This window comes from Homo sapiens, chromosome 6, assembly GCF_000001405.40.
Source record: "Homo sapiens chromosome 6, GRCh38.p14 Primary Assembly".
Classification (NCBI taxonomy): Eukaryota; Metazoa; Chordata; class Mammalia; order Primates; family Hominidae; genus Homo; species Homo sapiens.
The window spans coordinates 168,914,441-168,935,744 of NC_000006.12; the positions used below are offsets into that span (position 1 = coordinate 168,914,441).

At 44.3% G+C, this 21,304-nt stretch overlaps 1 long non-coding RNA gene across 1 annotated transcript in view; it reads right to left on the minus strand.

The window, feature by feature from the left end:
* Positions 1–13,300: 13,300 nt before the first annotated feature.
* Positions 13,301–21,304, minus strand: part of LOC105378146 (uncharacterized) — a 36,642-nt gene continuing 28,638 nt past the window's right edge. The window contains exon 4 of the long non-coding RNA NR_136250.1: positions 13,301–13,404. This is a non-coding gene — a long non-coding RNA (uncharacterized LOC105378146). The remainder of the gene's footprint in view (positions 13,405–21,304) is intronic.

Consider the following 21,304-nt stretch of genomic DNA (forward strand, 5'->3'; position numbering starts at 1 on the left):
TGTATTTTCTGTTACTCTTTTTATTCAGTGTAAGGTTTTCTTCTCCTTTTTATAGTCCTCTACTGAGTCCCTGGTTATCCTTGACTTAGAGCAATTCCATATCACATAGATCTCCAAATTCCCCAGACTAGAAAATGTGCTTTTGAACAAATTGTGTGGCTTTACTAGAGCATGATAATTGGCAAAAAGAAAACTTGGAAGACTCAGGGCCCAAAAGCCTGACAATCACAAATCAATCTCCATAGTTTTTGTCCACCCATTGTGGCAAAGGGAGAATCTGAACTGCGGTCTTGAAACCAGTGGCTGATGTGAAGCCCCTTGGGACGCAGTGGTGAGGGGCTCCTGCGTCAGAGTCATCTGGCTGCACTTCCGGTGCTACATGACCTTAGGGGAGTCACCAGGACTCCCCAAATAACGCCAACACCTCCAGCACGGAAGAGGGGGTGTTGGTAGTGACTACAGCATGATGACTAGTGGCACCAAACACTTTGCCACGCGGAATGAGCAGGGCAGTCCGTGGACACCCACGTGGTGTGGTATGTTCTTGAATGAGCCCAGATCATTGGTCCCCCCCCATCCACAGAGCATTCACACATCAGATCTTCTTACACGATTCACCCACACTGGAACAGAGGAGGCTGCTGTATTATTTTTGCTTGAAAGTGATGATAGTGATGGAAGTTGTGAGACCTTGGGTCTGGTCTTAGTTTAAAAGGATTTAAGCAAGAGACACACAGCAAAGGAGACGCAGCGTGAAGTAATTTTTTGCAAAGGAAAAATAATATTTTTACAGTTAGGTGCAGAATAAGACAGGACAGCTTGGGAGAGAGAGGATTCAGGGTGGGTGCTCTCCAAGGTGAGACAGCAGAGAGCAGCAGGAGGGAGGCTCCCTCTGTGGGAGTCTTCCACGATTACCCATGAGGGGGTGGGAGGAGGCGCTGCTTGGGGCATGTTCTGGGTGCTCCTCTGGATGCACGCATGGTAGTTGTCCGTGCTTGCTCACACGTCACATGTCTCAGGGTCTTGTATCTCCACCCATGGTTTGCTTTTTATGATTATAAAGAGCAAAGGGTCAGTTTGAGGACGGTAAAATCAAAGTGCACATGCTCTCTGCAGGGGAAATTCCCTACTGAAGGTAGCTTTGCTTGAGGGAGCTCAGTGACAATGTCAATGCTGAGGCTTGCTGTGTTGATTTTACAGTCACCACGTACACCGTACACCACTGTCCACCAATGTCCACCACCACTGTGGACCACCCAAGGACACGGCGACTTCCTTGACTACCTATCCTGACTCAGTGATTGGTATTTAATTTAAATTTTGGAACATTTTGAATTTAGTTTTTATCAGGGTTCTGCTTCTATCCAGTGCTGACACTTGTGGCAAACCCCGGTGGCATAGAAGCCTTGGTTCTCACATGGATATGTCACTCCCTTCTGACATATTGGCACCTGAGCATGACTTCTGCCTACAGAGGTAGGAGCATTGCAGCAGGCAGAGGCCGGCTGCACTGGTGGCTTCAGCGGGGACAGGAGAGGACTCAGGAGTGGCCCCAGGGATCACCCACAAGCACATATAAAATGGCTTTCAGGACTTCCAGCAACAGTCCAGGGAGGGGATGCTTTATACTGGGAACTAGAACAAGAGAAGTTATCGCTATGTACTGTTTACATACAGCTTTACAACAGGCTCTACTGGCCTGGAGAAAAAGGATAGAAAAGCAAACATACTCATTCATTATTACTTAAGAACAATTCATTCATCGAATCCAAAATATTCACAGAGCAGCAGCTGTGACAAAGCTGATCTGGGTGTCCCTGTTAAACGGAAAATCACATATATAAGAAAGCTTAATTTATGGATATAGAAAAAGAGTGAGGGATTTTGTCAAATTTTAAAACATGACTAACAAGTGAAGAGTTTAAAAATACCATTATTCTTGAACAAAATACTACACACCTAAGTAACAAACACGGGCGGTCATTGCTTGATATATAAGCGTTTCTGTGTTAGCAGATGACTGCGTCATACTTTTTGTTTGATGGTCAGAAGTGTGTGAAACGGGCACGTGCTGATTCTCTATTTTGAGGAGGTTTGTGTAATTTGTGTTGTCATGTTGCTCTGAAGCCCTCTGAGATGAGCCTGGGAGGTGTTGCCTTGGTGCACAGAGACATGTCACAGTGTAGACTGTGGCCCTCCCACGTTGATTCAGGGGTGCTGCGGCAGGCGTGTGGAGGGGACCCCACGCAGGAGCACCTCCTCATCCCTGAGGAGCTGGGGGACTCCTGGCAGATGCAGCCCCACCAAGCTGCCCTGGGGCCCCACAGTGCCCGGTGTCCGGCTTCAGACAGACAAGCAGCTGTCCTATCGCTTCCTCTTATTTTTAAGCCACTGCTTGAATGCTTCGTACTCATATAAAGGATCTCTGACATTGCTTTTCAGAATCGAGGAATTTCTTCATATCCTATGGCTTAGATTTTGCCAGATCAGAGGAAAATTGTGGCCACCCTGGGCAGACCTATTCCTGGAAATGGCCTTTGCCAGTGGCGAGATCTCTAATCCACAGGCATTCCGGCTGCCAAATTCCTGGCCTTTGAAGGCTGCAGCTGGGGAAAAGCCACTCTGCATCAGTTCATGTTTCTTTTTCAAACTTTCCCCTTCTATTATTTCACAACCAAACTCTGCCAGGGCCTGGCTTTTAGTTATTAAAGGGCCAAGCATCATTTTTTTCCAATGCTTTTAAAAAGGAGGGGAAGGGTTTCCCAGAGATACGTGGTGCCTTCCCCGTGCACACAGATGCTCCAGAATCACAGCCGCCTTCTATGAACTCTCGTGCAGGGCCTCATCTTCCATGGTTAATTTAGCAATAGGGATTGTGTGCTTCAAAGCGATACCTCATTCCTAGGTAGAAATTTATTTAACTTCAAAAACCTTTATTGTTGAATATATTAAGAACTACGTCTTAGTGATGATGATATGAGAAATTCATCTATCAAAACATCACTAGAGGGCCGGGCGTGGTGGTTCACGCCTATAATCCCAGCACTTTGGGAGGCCGAGGCAGGTGGATCACTTGAGGTCAGGGGTTCAAGACCAGCCTGACCAACATGATGAAACCCTGCATCTACTAAAAATACAAAAATTAGCCGGGCATGGTGGTGGGCGCCTGTAATCCCAGCTACTTGGGAGGCTGAGCCAGGAGAATTGCTTGAATCTGGGAGGCAGAGGTTGCAGTGAGCCGAGATCACACCACTGCACTCCAGCCTGGGCATCAAGAGTAAAACTCAGTCTGGAAAAAAAAAATCACTAGGCACCCCCATGATTATGTACAATTCTTTCTTGTAAATTAATAAAATACTTTTTTAAAAATGAGGATTATAGTTAAGAGCATTACATTAAAAAAGAAATGTCTATTTAATTATGAAAACTGAGATAATGAGGTAGAGAGTGGTTTTTTTGTTTTGTTTTTTTGTTTTTTTGAGATGGATTCTTGCTCTGTTGCTCAGGCTGAAGTGCAGTGGTGTGGACTCGGCTCACTGCAACCTCTGTCTCCCAGGTTCAAGCATTTCTCCTGCCTCAGCCTCCCAAGTAGCTGGGATTACAGGCACCTGCCACCACACCTGGTTAATTTTTGTATTTTTAGTAGAGACAGGGTTTCACTATGTTGGCCAGGCTGGTCTCGAACTCCTGAAATGAGATAGATTTTAAATGTTGTATATTGCAAGAGAGCAGTGAGAGGCAGTGAGAGACTGGGGGTGGGCAGGAGACAAGTGTGAGTTTGCAGCCGAGCTCCCAGGCGCCACCACTGTAGAGATGCAGGCAGGTCGTGTGTCTCTCTGAACCTCAGTTTTATCATCAGTAAAAATGAGGATGATCCTGCTCCTCCCTGGACTCCTGGTGAGGGCTGTAATGATTATATAAAATGAAGAGGGAGTGTGTCCCTGTATGAGGCATCAGGAGCCAGTGTGGCCTCCCTGGCAGCTTCTCTCTGCCATGGGCCCTGCCTTGCTGTGGCTTCTCAGCCACCCTACGATGGATGGGACAGGGTGGGCCAGACCATCTAGTCATATTTCTCCCAAAAGCTTCTTAGTTGGAGTGGTATTTTGCAACTGTAGAAGAAGTGGAAAAGATAAGTTATGGATTAATTTAGAAACGGCCAGATATGGTCCCATTTTTTGTGTGTTTTGTCATGCATCGAATGAGACATAAGTAGTGATTTGAAGAATACGCTGTTTAAAACTGGCTTCGGGCAGGAGATGGGGGAGGGGGTGTCCTGACAGCCCAGCCTTAAGGGAACTGTTCACTGAAGCTAAATTATCAGTGAGATAACTCACCAGAGGCCCCCACTGTCTGCCCTGGGATGTCTGTTTTAGGATGGACAGACTTGGCCAACATGCAAACAAAACAGGGCACCTCATTAAACTCAAATATCACACAAGCAAGGGATATTCTTTTAGTGTCATTATATGCCATGAAATGTTTGGGACATACTTATGCTAAAAAAAAATTACAGTCTACCCTCAATTGAAATTCAGCTTGTGTCCTGTATTTTATGTGGCAATCCCTGAGCTGACCTGCTGGGTCCATAGAGGGCAGCCTGGCTCATCCTGAAGGCTTGAGGTGTCCCCGTAAGCTGTGCAGAGCTCTGATTTCCTGATAAAGTCACCATTTCTGGTACTGCAGGGGTGACAATGTGTTCTACAAGAAATTTTAAATTCATTTCAAAAATTATCTAACAAAATTAATCTAAGAAATCCCACAATACCTGCATGACCACAGATAACCAAGTAATCCCATTACAATGACATGGCGTCCTTGTTCAGCAGGCGTTTCTTTTTGTGTTTCTCATTAAATGATCAGCAAGTGAGGTGACTTTTAAAAAACAATTACAAAGCTTTTTCCCCCAATTTTCAAATCTAGCTAGATGAATTTAGTTTGTATTTTTAAATGTTAAAAAGCAAGTTCAGATCAGTTCATCCATTTCTTCAAACCATGACTGTAAAGAAAACCGGCAGAAATTAAGCCACAGAAATGTGTTAAAGTACATTGCAGATGGGACTTGAACCCACAGTCCAGGAAACTTGGGTTTGAGGTAAAACCTCGTCTTAGCATATCTTGTACCTTGCTCTCATGCTGTATCTACTTTCATTTGCGTGTTCAAATTACAGTGTTCTAGTACACTCTGAAAGTGTTAATTTTCATGCTACAGTGGTTGCTTTCCACACAGCGACCTGAGGTTTTGGTTGAGTACAGTTAACGTGGTTGTAAAAACGTCTGATTAAACTCTCCTGACAACCGACCTTGCAACAAAAGTCATACAAAGACAGTGTGTTTTCAGCTTTTACGCTGTGTAAACTTACAAGTGAGACCTTTTCTGAAACTATTTTTTTTGATTAACAAATGTTTTGAAAAAGAGTTTTTAGAAACTTCATAAAATTAATCTTCTAGAAACCATAAGGCATTTTTGTTTACTTGAGAAGACCAGAGGTTGATGGTGCAGGTCCCTCCAGTGGCCCGAGGATCTCAGTGTTCTGGGCTATTGACTCTGCACTTTCCCTCGCCTTACCCTGTTGGTGGCAAGACAGCTGCTGGAGCACCAGGCGTCAAGTCCTTCTGCCTGCACTCTGGCAGAAAAGACAAGTCAGAGGAAGACATATTTCCCACAGAATTAAAATGACATGGCAGAAGATCTTTCCCGTAAGCCCAGTAATGAGCCTGGCCTCCGCCCTTCACCCGGTGCTCCGTATTTTGAGTCTACTTGTAATCAGATTTGGAGCTTCCGAGGGCTGCAGATTCAGCCTCAACTCCCTGCTCTCAGATTCTCTTTGATCCCAGCTTCATGAGAATGTTTGTTTTATTTTTGAATGTACTATGATTTGAATAGCTCACTTTCTTTCTTAACATTTTTAATATCGTGAAATATAACATAAAAATAGGCACAAGGCAAAAACATGCTCCTCAATTGTTTATCAAGAAATGTGACCACACCCAGGTCAGTACACAGAACGGCCAGAACTCCCAAAGGCCTGCGCTTTGTATGCCCTTCCCTGCGTTGCAAAGTTCACTATGCTACGGGCTGCAGTGCAATCACAGCTTCGCCTTTCTGCAGAGGCTTAGCTCAACATCACTAAGTACAACGGTGTTGCCTTCCTTTTGAATGTTACAGACATGTAACATCATGCAGTCTACAGTCCTTTGCAGTCTCTCGGTTTTACTTGTGAGGTTCAGCTGCTGCTACCTGTAGCCATGGTTCCTTTGGTGTCACTGCTGTACACCGTCTTATTCTGCCGCATCAATGTACCGAAGTTCATGTATCTATTCTCTGGTTGAGAAAAAAGTAGGTTTGTACAGTTAATACTAATAACATGGCTCTGAATAATCGTATGTGTCTCTCCATGCCCATAAACATAAATTCCCATTCAGGAGTGGAACTGCTAGGACCCCGGTGTAGACACCTTCACCTTTAGTAGACATTGCAAACCATTTCCAAAGTGGTTTCACCAATTTATGTCCCCCCGGCAGTGTGTGAGGATAATTCTCATCCACATGCCCTCTTGCGAATGCCTGGGACCAACAGTCTTCAACTTCAACCATTCCAGGGGTTGTGGAATAGCACCTTCCTCTTGACTTATTTTTCATTCCTTGATAATTATTGAGATTGAGCATATTTTCATATATTAGTTGGCCATTGGATATCTGTATCTCACATAATTTTGTTTTGAACTGATTGTTTTTGTTGTGTTGATTTGCAGAAGTTCTTTATGTATTTTTAATAAGAGTCCTTTGTTAAATGAGTCTCAAATATTTCCTTTTTCTCGGTGGCTTACCTTTTTACTCTCTTAATGGGTCTTTTGTGAAAATAATTTCTTAATGTATATGTGACCCCATTATAATTTTTCCCCCTTCTTGGCTGGCGCTAACTCCAGGATAGGGCTAACTTACTGGCTTATACCTGCATTTTCCTTTCTTCTAGTATACACATTCAAGGCCATAAATGTCCCTTAAGCATGGCTATAGTTGTATTTTGTAAGTTTCCATGTGGAGTATTTTCCTTGTCATTTACTTCATATTAATTTTTAGTTTACATTTTTAATTTGGCACATGCTATTTGGAAGTACATTGTTTAATTTTAAAACATATGAGTATTTTCTAGTCATCTTTTTGTTATTAATTTCTGGTTTATTACACTGTGGTCAGAGAATGTGCTCGGTATGATGCCAATACTTTAAAATGTAGCGGGATTCAGAGTTGGGTCAAGCTTAGCAAATGTTTCAGAAGCGCTTGTGAGACAACAACAAAAACATCTTCACAAGCAGTGTCTTATTTCAGTCGTGCAGAAAGCTAAGGCATTAGCACTACCATTACTTACATTCAGAGGGAAAGACATTAAATGAGGTCATACTTGTTAAAACTTTTGAAGACAGAAATATATTTTCAGTAAATTATTATTACTTTAGATTTTTTATTTCATGCTCTGAGCTAATTATTGACTTCAGGTATTGTGTGGTTAGGGGAAGGTTTGGGTTTGGTAACTGTGGAAACCCAAATCCTCACTACCTGTGTGGGTGGCCAGGAGGCCTGTGTTGCTGTCTCGCCCTGGGAGGGTGGCTCCTCCAGTGTGGGATGTGTTGTAGGTGTAACATACACACCGATTTCAAAGACTCTGTAGGAAAGAAAGAATGTAAAGTATGGAATTAATATTGTTATATTGAGTACATGCTGGAACAGTAACCTTAGGGATAGACTGGGCTAGATCAAACGTATCGTTAAAGCGAATTTCATCCTTTTTTACGTGATTAAGGCCGCTCCGGGAAGATTGAGGTAGTGCTGGCCGTGGTGCTTTCTCTCAAGCAAAGTGCAGGCCTGGGAACGAGCACTAACTAACCACAGCTGCTCACTACGACCTACAGGTGCTCTGGATTTTAACCTGTTTTAACTGCCCAATGTCACGGCCATTTTCCACATCTTTTCTAAATCTACATTTATAAACATAAATACAAATGAATTGTATTTACATAGTTGTGTATTCAACTGTAGATAATCAGAAATTGACAATGGTTTAAGTAATATTTTTCCTGCTACCGTTTGTTAGAAGGAACTTGGAAAGAGGGAATGACGGGCTCTGCGCACTCGGGATGTCTGCCGGGAACATGAGTCTTCCGTTGTCCACCCTTCATTGTCTCTTAGGTTCAGAATGGCTGCCACACCCCCAGGCATCACGTCAGCATCCCAGCAGGAGGAAAAACCTGAGTCAAAAGCATTTGCTTTGTAGGACTCTGTCTTTTCCTTCAGGGAGGGATATCTGCCCCTGTCCACAGCTTACAGCTCACTGTGCAGAAATGAGTATTACTGTCTCCATAGGCCCCAGGGAGGCCAGGAGCTGAGCCCACACTGAAGGCAGGACAATGAAGGGTGGGAAGCTACAGGCCATGCCATCCTCCCGGGGGAAGAAGCCATAGCACCTTGGGTTACCAGGGTTTGACATAGCTCTTCCAACATTCCAAAAAAAAAAAATGAGGCGACAAAGCATAGTTTCTAAAAGTTTGAAAAAAGGGTTTTTATTAAAAGATCAACAATATAGTTTCACTAAAATATGCTTTTTAGAAAAGACTCGTTTATGTTTTTTATCTTTCTCAACCTGAAATCCAGCTCTGATGTTTTATTGTTGCGGGTCCGTGGAGATGAATCTCTGCTGGTCTTCCCTCATCGGCTTTCCTGACCTTGTGAGGGGAAGACCAGGGTGCTTGACACAAAAGACTTCTTTTCACAGGCCCCTCATCCGGAGTCGGGGCTGCTCTCCTTTCATGGTGGGCACAGGTGGTCTCGTGTTTACATCTGAGCCCTGCTGTTGGCGTTCATGCCCCCAGAGGAGTCCTGCCCCAGAATCAGACTCACTGCATCTTCCTTTTTGAAGACAAAGTTGTATTATGTGATTTCCTTTTGCTTTGCACAAAGCAAGATGCTCCCACCGAGGCTGGGAGCCAGTTCTGTATCTTTCAAGTCACAAGCGATCCTTGACCTCAGGGTCTAAATGACTCAGGGAGGCCCCGAGAGACCAAGGTCCTGTCCAAGCCCACAGAGATGTTGCTCAGGGAGCACTTTTCACTTGAAAAGGCAGCCACACCAGTCTCTCCCCATCTGAGGAGCCCCCGACCAGGCCGGGCCCCGTGCTCTTTTCCTGTCAATTAGATCACCTTTATTTGGCCCCTGCTGCACTGAATCATGTCTTCTGGAACATCTGCAATGGATACCTGTATCTTGTACTTAAGCACAGCCTCAAACATGTTCTCACTGGGTTTGCTGCCATTTCCTTCATCTCACTTTTTTTTTTTTTTTCTGAGACGGAGTGATAAGATTTATTTTTTTATTTTTATTTTTCTTGAGACAGAGTCTCGCTCTGTTACCCAGGCTGGAGTGCAGTGGTACGATCTCAGCTCACTGCAACCTCTGCCTCCCAGGTTCAAACGGTTTTGCTGCCTCAGCCTCCTGAGTAGCTGGGATTACAGACATGCACCGCCACACTCATCTAATTTTTGTATTTTTAGTAGAGACAGGGTTTTGCTGTGTTGGCCAGGCTCAGCCTTGAACTCCTGACCTTTAGTGATCTGCCTGCCTTGGCCTCCCAAAGTGCTGGGATTATAGGTGTGAGCCACCATGCCCGGCCAAGACAGGGTGATGAGTTTTAAAGAGTAAGATCTGTGTTTATAGTGAGTGCTGGTAAATAAATTTGATGTCTTTTTATTACATTCATTTTGCAGATACAAAATAACTTACTTGGGTACTAAGCCTCTTGATAAAAAATGACTGAGCCAAAAATCCACGTTTTCCTTCATGACTAAGACGGTATGGATATTTCTCTGCCCAAATTTCATGTTGAATATGGAATGTTGAATGGAATCCCTAATGTTGAAGGGAAGTGACTGGGTTATGGGAGTGGATTTCTCATGAATGGTTTAGCCCCATCCTCTTGACACTGTCCTGTTGAATGGAATCCCTAATGTTGAAGGGAAGTGACTGGGTTACGGGAGTGGATTTCTCATGAATGGTTTAGCCCCATCCTCTTGACACTGTCCTCATGATAGTGGGTGCTCACAAGATCTGGTTGTTAAAGTGTGTGGTGCCTCCCACTCTGCTCCTGCTCTCACCCCCTCAGATGTCCACCCTCTCTTCGCCTTTCATTATAATTAGAAGCTTCCTAAGGCCTCCCCAGAAGCTGAGCAGACATCATCACCACACTTTCTGTACAGCCTGCAGAACCATGAGCCAAATAAACCTCTTTTCTTTATAAATTACCCAGTCTCAGGTATTCCTTTATGGCAACCCAAGGACAAGCTATACAGTGAAGCCACATGAATCCCATTAATGCAGTGCGCACTGTAATCAGATTGCTTTCTAATTCTATCTAATTTTCTTCATTTAACATGGGTTGCAAGAATAGTTATATGTAACTGCAGTCAACCCATAAGATGGAACAGGGTAGTTGCTAAAATAAAGCAACATATCAAGAAGTAAGTTTTGAAATTTTTTTTATTAATTGAAATTGGATGATCACTTTTAACTTTATTCATAAATCTATCAAAACTTTAGACACGTTTTGCTAAGCAAAAAGGTATTTTAATACAATTTTTTTTATTATTATACTTTAAGTTTTAGGGTACATGTGCACAATGTGCAGGTTAGTTACATATGTATACATGTGCCATGCTGGTGTGCTGCACCCATTAACTCATCATTTAGCATTAGGTATATCTCCCAATGCTATCCCTCCTCCCTCCCCCCACCCCACAACAGTCCCCAGAGTGTGATGTTCCCCTTCCTGTGTCCATGTGTTCTCATTGTTCAATTCCCATCTATGAGTGAGAACATGTGGTGTTTGGTTTTTTGTCCTTGTGATAGTTTACTGAGAATGATGATTTCCAATTTCATCCATGTCCCTACAAAGGACATGAACTCATCATTTTTTATGGCTGCATAGTATTCCATGGTGTATATATGCCACATTTTCTTAATCCAGTCTATCATTGTTGGACATTTGGGCTTTTAATACAATTAAACAAATATATATGTACATGTTCACACATGGGTATGGTAAAAAAAAAAAAAAAACTGATCGCTGAATTGCTTTTGTTAAGAAGCCAAACGACTGTACCTCAGTCTCTGGCAGCAGGATCCTGAGCCTGTTCTTGCAGGAGCCTGAGCCTGTTCTTATGATAACAGACAGCTCTGAACACAAATGTGCTGGTCTTCTTCAGCTTCACCCTTTCCAGTTCTCTATCTTCAGTATCTGTCTCGGGACCCACCTGTAACCTCCCTCGTGTCTTCCATTTCCGAAGGCAAGTTCCTTAGGTAGGAACCATCTCTGTGAAAGGGGAGGCTGCAATGGTGCCATGAAGAAAGACTGGGAATGGTTTCCGTGAAAACACAGGCAGGCCGGGCGCCACTTCTGAGTCTGATGTGTTTGACAACATCCTTCCGGTCTCCTTCCATCTTCTGCTCCTTCCTCTTCCCTCTGCCGAATTTTGCTCTTCTGCAGTTCTTGAGGCACATTTTAGGCCCTGACCAATAAAGACGTAAACAAGCACAAGCGGAAAACAAAACTAGCTTAACGAGTTCACTGCTAATTATTGCCTGTTAGCATGAAAAGAATAGCACAATTCTTCACATTTTTGGTTAAGGAAACGTTACCCACACATTCATATGTAAATTGATTCTGACCAAATTGTTTGGAGTGGGAATTTTAGTTTATCTGTGAGCACTGTCTCTCAGGGGCTGAGAATGAGCCCAGCAATGGGAACCATCGCATGCAGGAACACACACCCGCAACACAGACACATGCATGCAAACACAGCAGCACGTACACATGCAACGCTACACACAATGTGCACAATGCACACACACATGCATACAAGCACAGCAACACGTACACATGCGACACCACACACACATACAGTGTGCACAGTGCACACACACGCACACAAGGACAGCAACACAGACACATGTGACACCACACACACATGCACACAAGCACAGCGACACATACACGAGATACAATGCACACACACACATGCGCACACACACATGCACACACACAGCAACACATACACATGTGACACCACACACGCACGCACAGTGTGCATGATGCACACACACGCACGCACAGCAACACGTACACATGTGACACCACGCACAGTGTGCACAGTGCACACACATGCACACACACCCCACACACACTCACATCACAACTAAAAGACTGAAGCATCGTCGAGAGGAAACCTTCCAAAGCCATTGTATCTGCAGTGATATTGCCTATAAATCTCAGTCCATGTATTTAGTATGCAATAACTATCGCTAGCCTTATTATTGAAAATGCTATTTCTTTGTATTTCTGAGCTCAAATTTCACTAAGATTGGGGTAAACCTAACTTTAATTATTCTTCAGATGTATGCCTCAGTTTAGGAGACTTGCACGGGGCCAATAGGTTATTTACCTAGTATTTATATAATGCTCACCCAGTGTCAGGCACTGCTTCAAATGCTTGGTAAATATTAACTCATTTAATCCTTACAATAAATTCAGAGGGATGCGTGGTTTTACAAATGAGGAAGCTTAAGAACAGAGACGTGAAGTAACTTGCCTAAGGCGACATAGCATTAGGAAGGGAGTTGGCATCTGAACTCCTTGCCTGGCTCCAAACCTCATCCTCTCGGTCAGACCTCCTGAGGCCACAACATCTCTCTGCTCGCTTGGCCTTCTAGTTACAACACCCACCAGGCTGGGCCCCAGAACTATTTTGTGAAGGTGTCTGTTGACCCGGTTTTCCTAAACACACCTTATATTCCTGTCTGATGCTTCTTTACTTCACGCCAAGAAGCAAAGGACTGTCTCCAACTGTCTCCAAATGCTTAGACCTCCCCTCCGCACACGGAGGAGGGGTCTCCGTCTGTCATGGTGCTGGCATGCACCGGGGTCCTTTTTCTATCCCAGCCACTTCCAAGATGCCCTTTCCAAGACTTACCTGGTTTACAAACACCGTTCTTTTTTGTCTGAAAACTTCCAAGTTCTCCTGAAAGCCTAGGCTTTGGGAAGACCAATTCTTGATATGCAGCTACTTCTGTGTGAAGAGTGAGAAGAGAAGGAGGCGGTGGCAGGGAGAGGAAAACCCCGTGTGTGTGCACATTCCAAAACACCCACAGCCACAAACGGCAGATCCGATGTTTTATGGTACCTTTTTACTAAATGGTTGTGTTTCTTTCCTTCGTTCTACTGGCCCAAGTCCTAGGTGCTTACCACCATCAGCTGATGAGGAGGGCTCATTGGATGCTGCCGAGATTTGAAACAAGAGTCTTCCAAACCAAGGTTTCAACTGTGAAGTCGTTTCTTGCTTAAAGGGCCAGTGGAATCTCCTTAAAAAGGAATGGAACATCTTAGCACTCTGTATCTTTTGGCTGAGACGTATGCTTCAAAATAAGTGTTTTCCTGTAAACGGGTCCTTACTAAGTGTTGGGGTGAGTGAATATGTGCTCTTGAAATGTGTTATGGTGGAACGAAAGCTTCAGTCACCTGCAGACATTTCCCCGGCGGAGATAAGCTTCTTCCAGTCTGGGCCTGGAGTTTCCCTTACTCCATCGGAAAGGAACCCAGACTGGTGATAATGACAAGTTGGCAGTGTGGCTTTCATGCACCAGGGCCAGTGATGGAAATACTCTCTTACCCGAGGCTCGCAGAATGCTATAAACTTGGGGATGGAGGGGCCACAATGCTGGAGGGAAAAGCATAAAGCAGCCCGGAGACAAGAAACAGACTCGCCAATCAAATGCTGTGCCTTTTCCCTCGGTCCCAGGATGGCTGCCCTCATGATTCTGGTGTAGTCCCTGTCATCCAGCGCCACTGTGCCGGGCTGGCAATGCCAGTGCTCCATATTAGACAGAAGGACAAAGAAAGCTTTTAATTTAGTATCAGAGTAATGAAAACGCCTTCTTCCGCGGATACTGTAACACTGGCAGGGTTTTAAGTAAATGGAATCAGATATTTAAAAAGGATTTGCCGAAAGGAATTAGGAAAGAATGCTTCAAAAACATTTTAAATGCTGCTTAGTAGAGGCTCAGTGTTCACCTAAATCAAAGATGTTTTCCCCATATATTTATTTTAATAATTTAAAATATGTCTACATGTACTAATTACCTATATTTATCTATCTGAATTTTTTCTTCAATGACCAATATACAATGAGTGGTATATACTGCATGTGTACTGTTTTAAAGACATACTGTATATTTAGGAAAAGGGGTTTCACATTTCTGCCACTTTGTGGATCCCTCTGCTTGGCTATCTTTTTAAATTTATAGGCCTTATTTCCCATTAAGACTGGAACACCTTCCAAAATATTTTCTTTTTTTAGACATCTATAATAAGATGAAATAACAGTAGTGGCAAATTCACTGCGCTCTTGAAGCATCTGTTGGAGCTCTCTCTTTGTGGGGGTAAACCAGCCGCCAAACAGATCACCTGCACGGAAAGTCCTTTGCTCATTTTGTGGATCTGAGTTGCTGCCAACTTTTCCGGGTGTTCATGTTCAGAAGGAGAAGCAAGATGGCCCTGTTAAAAAGTCCTACATGGCATTTGTCAAGGATGTTCTGCTCAGGAGAGAGACTGAGGCTTCCGGTGAGAAAACCCTGCAGGCTGGGGAAGTGCACCTCGAGCTGACCCCTTGTTCAGGGAGCTGATGAAGGCACATGCCATGGGAATGAGAAAGCCACTCCTTAAGCATCAGTAACAGAAGGTGCCATGTGGATAATACAGGGGCTGAAAAATCATAAGATTATTTGGGTGTCCCCACCCAAATCTCATCTCGAATTCCCACATGTTGTGGGAGGAATCTGGTGGGAGGTGATTGAATCATGGGGGCAGGTCTCTCCTGGGCTGTTCTTATGATCGTGAGTGGGTCTCATGAGATCTGATGGTTTTAAAAACAGGAGTTTCCCTGCACAAGCTCTCTTCTCTTGTCTGCCACCATGTGAGACATGCCTTTCACATTCCGCCATGATTTTGAGGCCTCCCCAGCCACACAGAACTGGGTCCATTGAACCTCTCTTTTGTAAATTGCCCAGTCTCAGGTATGTCTTTATCAGCAGCATGAAAACACACTAATACAGGTAGGTTCAGACAAAGAGTCATTGGCTCCACATGGTGGCAGCTCCTATGCCTCCTGCCTGAGCTGAGGGTCTGTGGCTGCAGGCCCAGCTCAGGAAAGGAGCTGCTGGAAACTGGAATGATATGAAATAGACCCATCTACAGTTTTTCTGGTCATCTGTTAAAAAAGAATTTAATGCTTACAAGATAACTATCATTGGTAGTAATAGTCTAGGCCCATGACATTCTTTAATATTTGGGAGTATCAGAACTTTAAAGATTAGACTTAGTTATAAATAGAATATTTATTTAGGAACTTAGAGACATCTGGGCATTTCATGTCATGAAAGTAACAAAACCCTCCCTCTTTGCACGGCTCCAGTACAAATCATGACTGCTGTTGGAGAGGCTCTGATACGCTGTGCGTGCAGATGGTGCCCGAGAGCCGGGGAACAGCAGCATCTCACCCGGGCTTTCTCCTTTCCATCTGGCAGGTGCCAGCTTCTAACCACCATCAGCTGCCATGTCCACTGCCATCTGTTTAGCTAATGGACAGGGAGCACCTACTGTGGGCCAAGCCCCCGACAGGCACCAGAGATTGGGTGGAGATAGACAAAACCAAGCACAGACAAATTCAATTAGTTGTTTTCTGGAGGAAAGAAACAAGAACCATGCATGAGAACATCTTGTTCTTGACATCTTCAACCAGACACTGAGGTCGGCTCTCGTCAGCAGCTGGGTCTCCTTGAGGTTCACTGGATGGGGAGGTTGTCTGCATTTCACGTTTTAATTAATTTTTAAAAGTTACTTAGATGAATTATTTCATTGGCTACGTATCATCCTGTGCCAAAAAACAAACTGTGAAGCCCAGCAGCATATATATTTTAAAATGCAGTTACAAAAAAGCATAAATATGAAAACAAAAACAAACAACTAACCATTATTGATTGTGTCATACTAAAACACTGTTTTAATTTTGTGGTATGTTTTGGGGACTTTTTCCAATTTATTCTCTGAAATAATGTTGTATTCAGAGCGTACACCAAGAATAGGAGCCCGTTTTTTATCCATTTAAGATTCTCTCCCGTTTCTATCTATTGCTCATTTGCTGAACCTCTTGTCTCTTTGACTAACAGTATTTAAAGGTCTAATGAAATATTTCAAAGCAGTTATGAATAATGAGGTAATAGATGAGTACAAGCCACTAGCAGAAGACATGAAATGTGGCAAATGCTGCAAAGCAAAGGCTTCACTTCCATCGCTGCCTTCTCCCATTCCTCAAGTTATCACTGACTGCATTGGTGTTTATTCTTCCCAAACATCTATTCGTATTTTACTACAAATGTATGGAGGCTTGTGCAATATTTGATATTGATCTATTTTTTTAATGTGTATAAGGGGAATCTTACATTATACATTTTTCATGACTGGCTTCATATGTTAAACATGTTCCTCATGAGATTAATTCAGGTTGAGGTGTGTAGACACTGTTTATTTATTACCACATCAATGAATGCATTACTATTCACACAGTCCAGTGTTTTCGTAGACGTTTACTTGTTTCCAATATTTCATCCCATTAGACCCTTGTGGAAGGACTTTTTCTACACTGGAAATCTAGGAGTGGAATAGCCGGGCCCCGGAGACACAGGAACACACTAGAAATCTAGGAGTGGAATATTTGGGCCCCGGAGCCACAGGAATGCGCTGGAAATCTAGGAGTGGAATAGCCGGGCCCCGGAGCCACAGGAACACACTGGAAATCTAGGAGTGGAATAGCTGGGCCCCGGAGCCACGGGAACGCACTGGAAATCTAGGAGTGGAATAGCTGGGCCCCGGAGCCACGGGAACGCACTGGAAATCTAGGAGTGGAATATTTGGGCCCCGGAGCCACGGGAACGCACTGGAAATCTAGGAGTGGAATATTTGGGCCCCGGAGCCACGGGAACGCACTGGAAATCTAGGAGTGGAATATTTGGGCCCCGGAGCCACGGGAACCCACTGGAAATCTAGGAGTGGAATAGCCAGGCCCTGGAGCCACGGGAATGCACTGGAAATCTAGGAGTGGAATATTTGGGCCCCGGAGCCACGGGAACCCACTGGAAATCTAGGAGTGGAATAGCCAGGCCCTGGAGCCACGGGAACACACTGGAAATCTAGGAGTGGAATAGCCGGGCCCCGGAGCCACGGGAACGCTCTGGAAATCTAGGAGTGGAATATTTGGGCCCCGGAGCCACGGGAACGCACTGGAAATCTAGGAGTGGAATATTTGGGCCCCGGAGCCACGGGAACGCACTGGAAATCTAGGAGTGGAATATTTGGGCCCCGGAGCCACGGGAACGCACTGGAAATCTAGGAGTGGAATAGCCGGGCCCCGGAGCCACGGGAACGCACTGGAAATCTAGGAGTGGAATAGCTGGGCCCCGGAGCCACGGGAACGCAATGGAAATCTAGGAGTGGAATAGCTGGGCCCCGGAGCCACGGGAACGCACTGGAAATCTAGGAGTGGAATAGCTGGGCCCCGGAGCCACGGGAACGCACTGGAAATCTAGGAGTGGAATAGCTGGGCCCCGGAGCCACGGGAACGCACTGGAAATCTAGGAGTGGAATAGCTGGGCCCCGGAGCCACGGGAACGCACTGGAAATCTAGGAGTGGAATAGCTGGGCCCCGGAGCCACGGGAATGCACTGGAAATCTAGGAGTGGAATATTTGGGCCCCGGAGCCATGGGAACACACTGGAAATCTAGGAGTGGAATAGCCGGGCCCTGGAGCCACGGGAATGCACTGGAAATCTAGGAGTGGAATAGCCGGGCCCCGGAGCCACAGGAACGCACTGGAAATCTAGGAGTGGAATATTTGGGCCCTGGAGCCACAGGAACGCACTGGAAATCTAGGAGTGGAATATTTGGGTCCCGGAGACACAGGAACACACTGGAAATCTAGGAGTGGAATAGCTGGGCCCCGGAGCCACGGGAACGCACTGGAAATCTAGGAGTGGAATATTTGGGCCCCGGAGCCACGGGAACGCACTGGAAATCTAGGAGTGGAATAGCCAGGCCCCGGAGCCACGGGAACGCACTTGAAATCTAGGAGTGGAATAGCTGGGCCCCGGAGCCACGGGAACCCACTGGAAATCTAGGAGTGGAATAGCTGGGCCCCGGAGCCACGGGAATGCACTTGAAATCTAGGAGTGGAATAGCCGGGCCCTGGAGCCACAGAAATGCACTTCTCCAACTTCAGACGCAGCCACGTTGTCTCCCAGTCGTTGCAGGAATCCCACTCCCATGAGTGTGGAACAGTTCCCTTAACCCTCTCCAGGTTTCTATTTTGTTCATAAACTTACTTATTAGTCCAAATTCTCCAGAAAAACAGAACCAATGGGAGGTAGAGAGATATAAGAGCAGATGGATTATGAACATTGGCTCCTGTAACTATAGAAGCTGAAGAGTCCCATGATCTGCTGTCTGCAAGCCGGAAAGATTCTGGTGTTGCTGAGTCTGAATCTGAGGCCTGAAGGCTGGTGAGCTGCTGGTGTTGACTGAGGAGTCCAAGACCAGAGAACCTAGAGCTCCAGTGTCCGAGGGCAGGAAAGGATGGATGTTCCAGCCCACGGAGAGAGAGGGAGGGAGGGAGGGAGAGAGAGAATGTGTATTTCTTTTCCCTGGTAAAGTTGAGTATCCTGTACTCAGTTTACTGATTCAAACATTAATTTCATCCAAAAGGATCCTCACAGAGACATCCATAATAACATCTGAGCATCCCTCAGCCTAGTCAAGTCAACACGTAAGATTAGCCATCATAATTATGTTGCTTTACAAGTACTGACATAACGAATTGTGATATCTTGTAGCATAATTTTCATCATCTTTTTTCTTCTTTCTTTTGTGCCTGTATTTTTGTGACTACTTTATGACCTTTGTTCTTTATTATAAGGCCTAGACAATCTTGCCATATTTTGTAAAAAAAATCCTGCTGAGATTATAATGTGAAGGGCATGAAATCTATAAATTATTTGCAGAGTTTTGAGATCTTCACAATATTGAATCTTTTTATCCATGAACATGGTAAATATTTCCATTTACTTATGTTTTTAATATGCCTCAAAAATTTGTAATTTTCTCTATTTGTATCTCATGAACATTTTGTTAGTTACTTTCTATTTTTGTGGGGTTTTTTTCTGTTACATGTAATGTTTCTAAGTCTTGAGTTATTCTTTTTGATGGTGCAAGGGAGTATAATGGAATTTTAACTGTGATTGATAACTATTTTAATTTTTCCTATTAACCTATTTAGAATAGTGCCTGCTCTATATTGAATACTACATAAATGTTTGTTAAAAAAGTAAGGAAAGCTGCTCGTTCTCTAAGTTAACTCTCGGGTAGCTCGGGAATGATTACAACATCCTCTCTTCCTATCCTGCACTTTGTGTTCCCCGCTCAGTGCTAACATGCACCTCCAGCATAACACTGAATAGAAGCTGGGGTCATGAGCTTCCTTGGTTTCATCTGAAGTCTTCTGGGGAATGTTGCTTCCGTGTCACTGTAAGTTCTGATATTTGACATGGTTACTTTAGTTAGCCATACCTTATTGGAATAAGAGTGTTCCTTTATATTTTTAGTTCGCTAATTTTTTTTAATCTCACCATGTAGGATTTTTTCTCCTTGATTTTGTTGCCATAGTAAATTTTGAAAAGCATTAATAGGTTTTCTAACGTTTTTGTCTTGTTGACTTAGAATGTACTCAACTACATCATGATGTAAATATTTTAGTATATTTTTTCTGGATTTTCTTTCTTAACATTTTGTTTATTACTTTTGCATCTATATTCATCAATAAGATCGACATGTTTTATTTTTATGCTATATTTTGCTGGGCTAAGATTTTGATATCGTATTCAGTGATTTGGGGAGTGTTCCTCATTTCCTGGTCTCTGGAAGAATATGTGTGGTTATACAGTTATTTGCTCATTTAATGATTACTAGAACACATCTCTAAAAAGACTTTGAGCCGGGGAGACATTTCTTTTCTGTGTATACACTTTTAACATTTATTTCCATTAATAGTCATAAAGAATATTTGGTGAGGACTGAAAGGTGCCGAGGATCTGTCTGAAAACTGAATGCAAAGGACAAAGCGACAGCAGACGGGGCAGGCGAGACGTGAGGCGAGACGTGAGGCGAGCCGTGAGGCAAGCCGGCTCATAAACGCTCCTAACGGGGAAAACAGACGAACGAGGAGTTGGTGATAATATCAGCCAGTAACACCTGTTAAGGCTTCCTGGCTCCCAGGCACTTGAGAACTATACTTCTCCAAATTAGGTTGGTTCTGTTATCTTCCTTCTACAGATAGGGAAACTGAGGCATGGCGCATTTAACTAAGAGGTCTTGGATCCCACAGTCCTTAGTGGTGGAGCCGGGATTTAAAACCAGGCAACCTGACACCCCAGCGGGTGCTGTCAACTCTGTCTCACGTTTTTTACTGAGGGTGTCTGTGCCCAGCATGCTTCAGGAGGTCACTCCCTGGTGCTGAAGGAAGGCACAGGCCTTCGGGGATCAGTAAGTGACGGGCAGTATGTACATGTCATAGCACACGCCTGTGTATAGTCTTGTGAATTTCAAAGCATCCAGGATGAAGTTAGGGAGCCAGAGGGAAGGAACAAAATTCCAACTGCTTTCAGAAAGAAAGGCGCTAACTCAAAAAGCAGCAAGCAGCGAGCAGCAGTGATCAGGTTGGCATGAAATTGTATTGGTTGTTGCATCCTGGAGGCAGTGGGGTTAGATGTGTAAAGATCGGAGGAACGGTGACAGGTACCCCTGGCTTGCCAAACTCTTTCACTGTCTGAACTCAAGAACCAAACAGATTTGGATTTCTTGGTATTGCCCAATAGCAAACTGGCTATCAGGTTCCAATTACACTCACATTCTTCATCCACAGACACCAGAAACTCTTGTGTCCAAAAAATTAAATTTATTTAACTTTCTGAGACAAGGAAGAGTGGAATTAAAATGAACCAGGAAACCCTTTCAATAAGGGGGAGTTAAGAGGGGCTTCTGATAGGATAGGGGCTTGTGCTAGGTGATCCCAAGGAGAGATTAAGGAGAGGGGAGCCAATGCTTGATGGGTGAAGATATCTTCATGCATTTCGTCCTGAGAGGGGAGATTCAAGAGGGGCG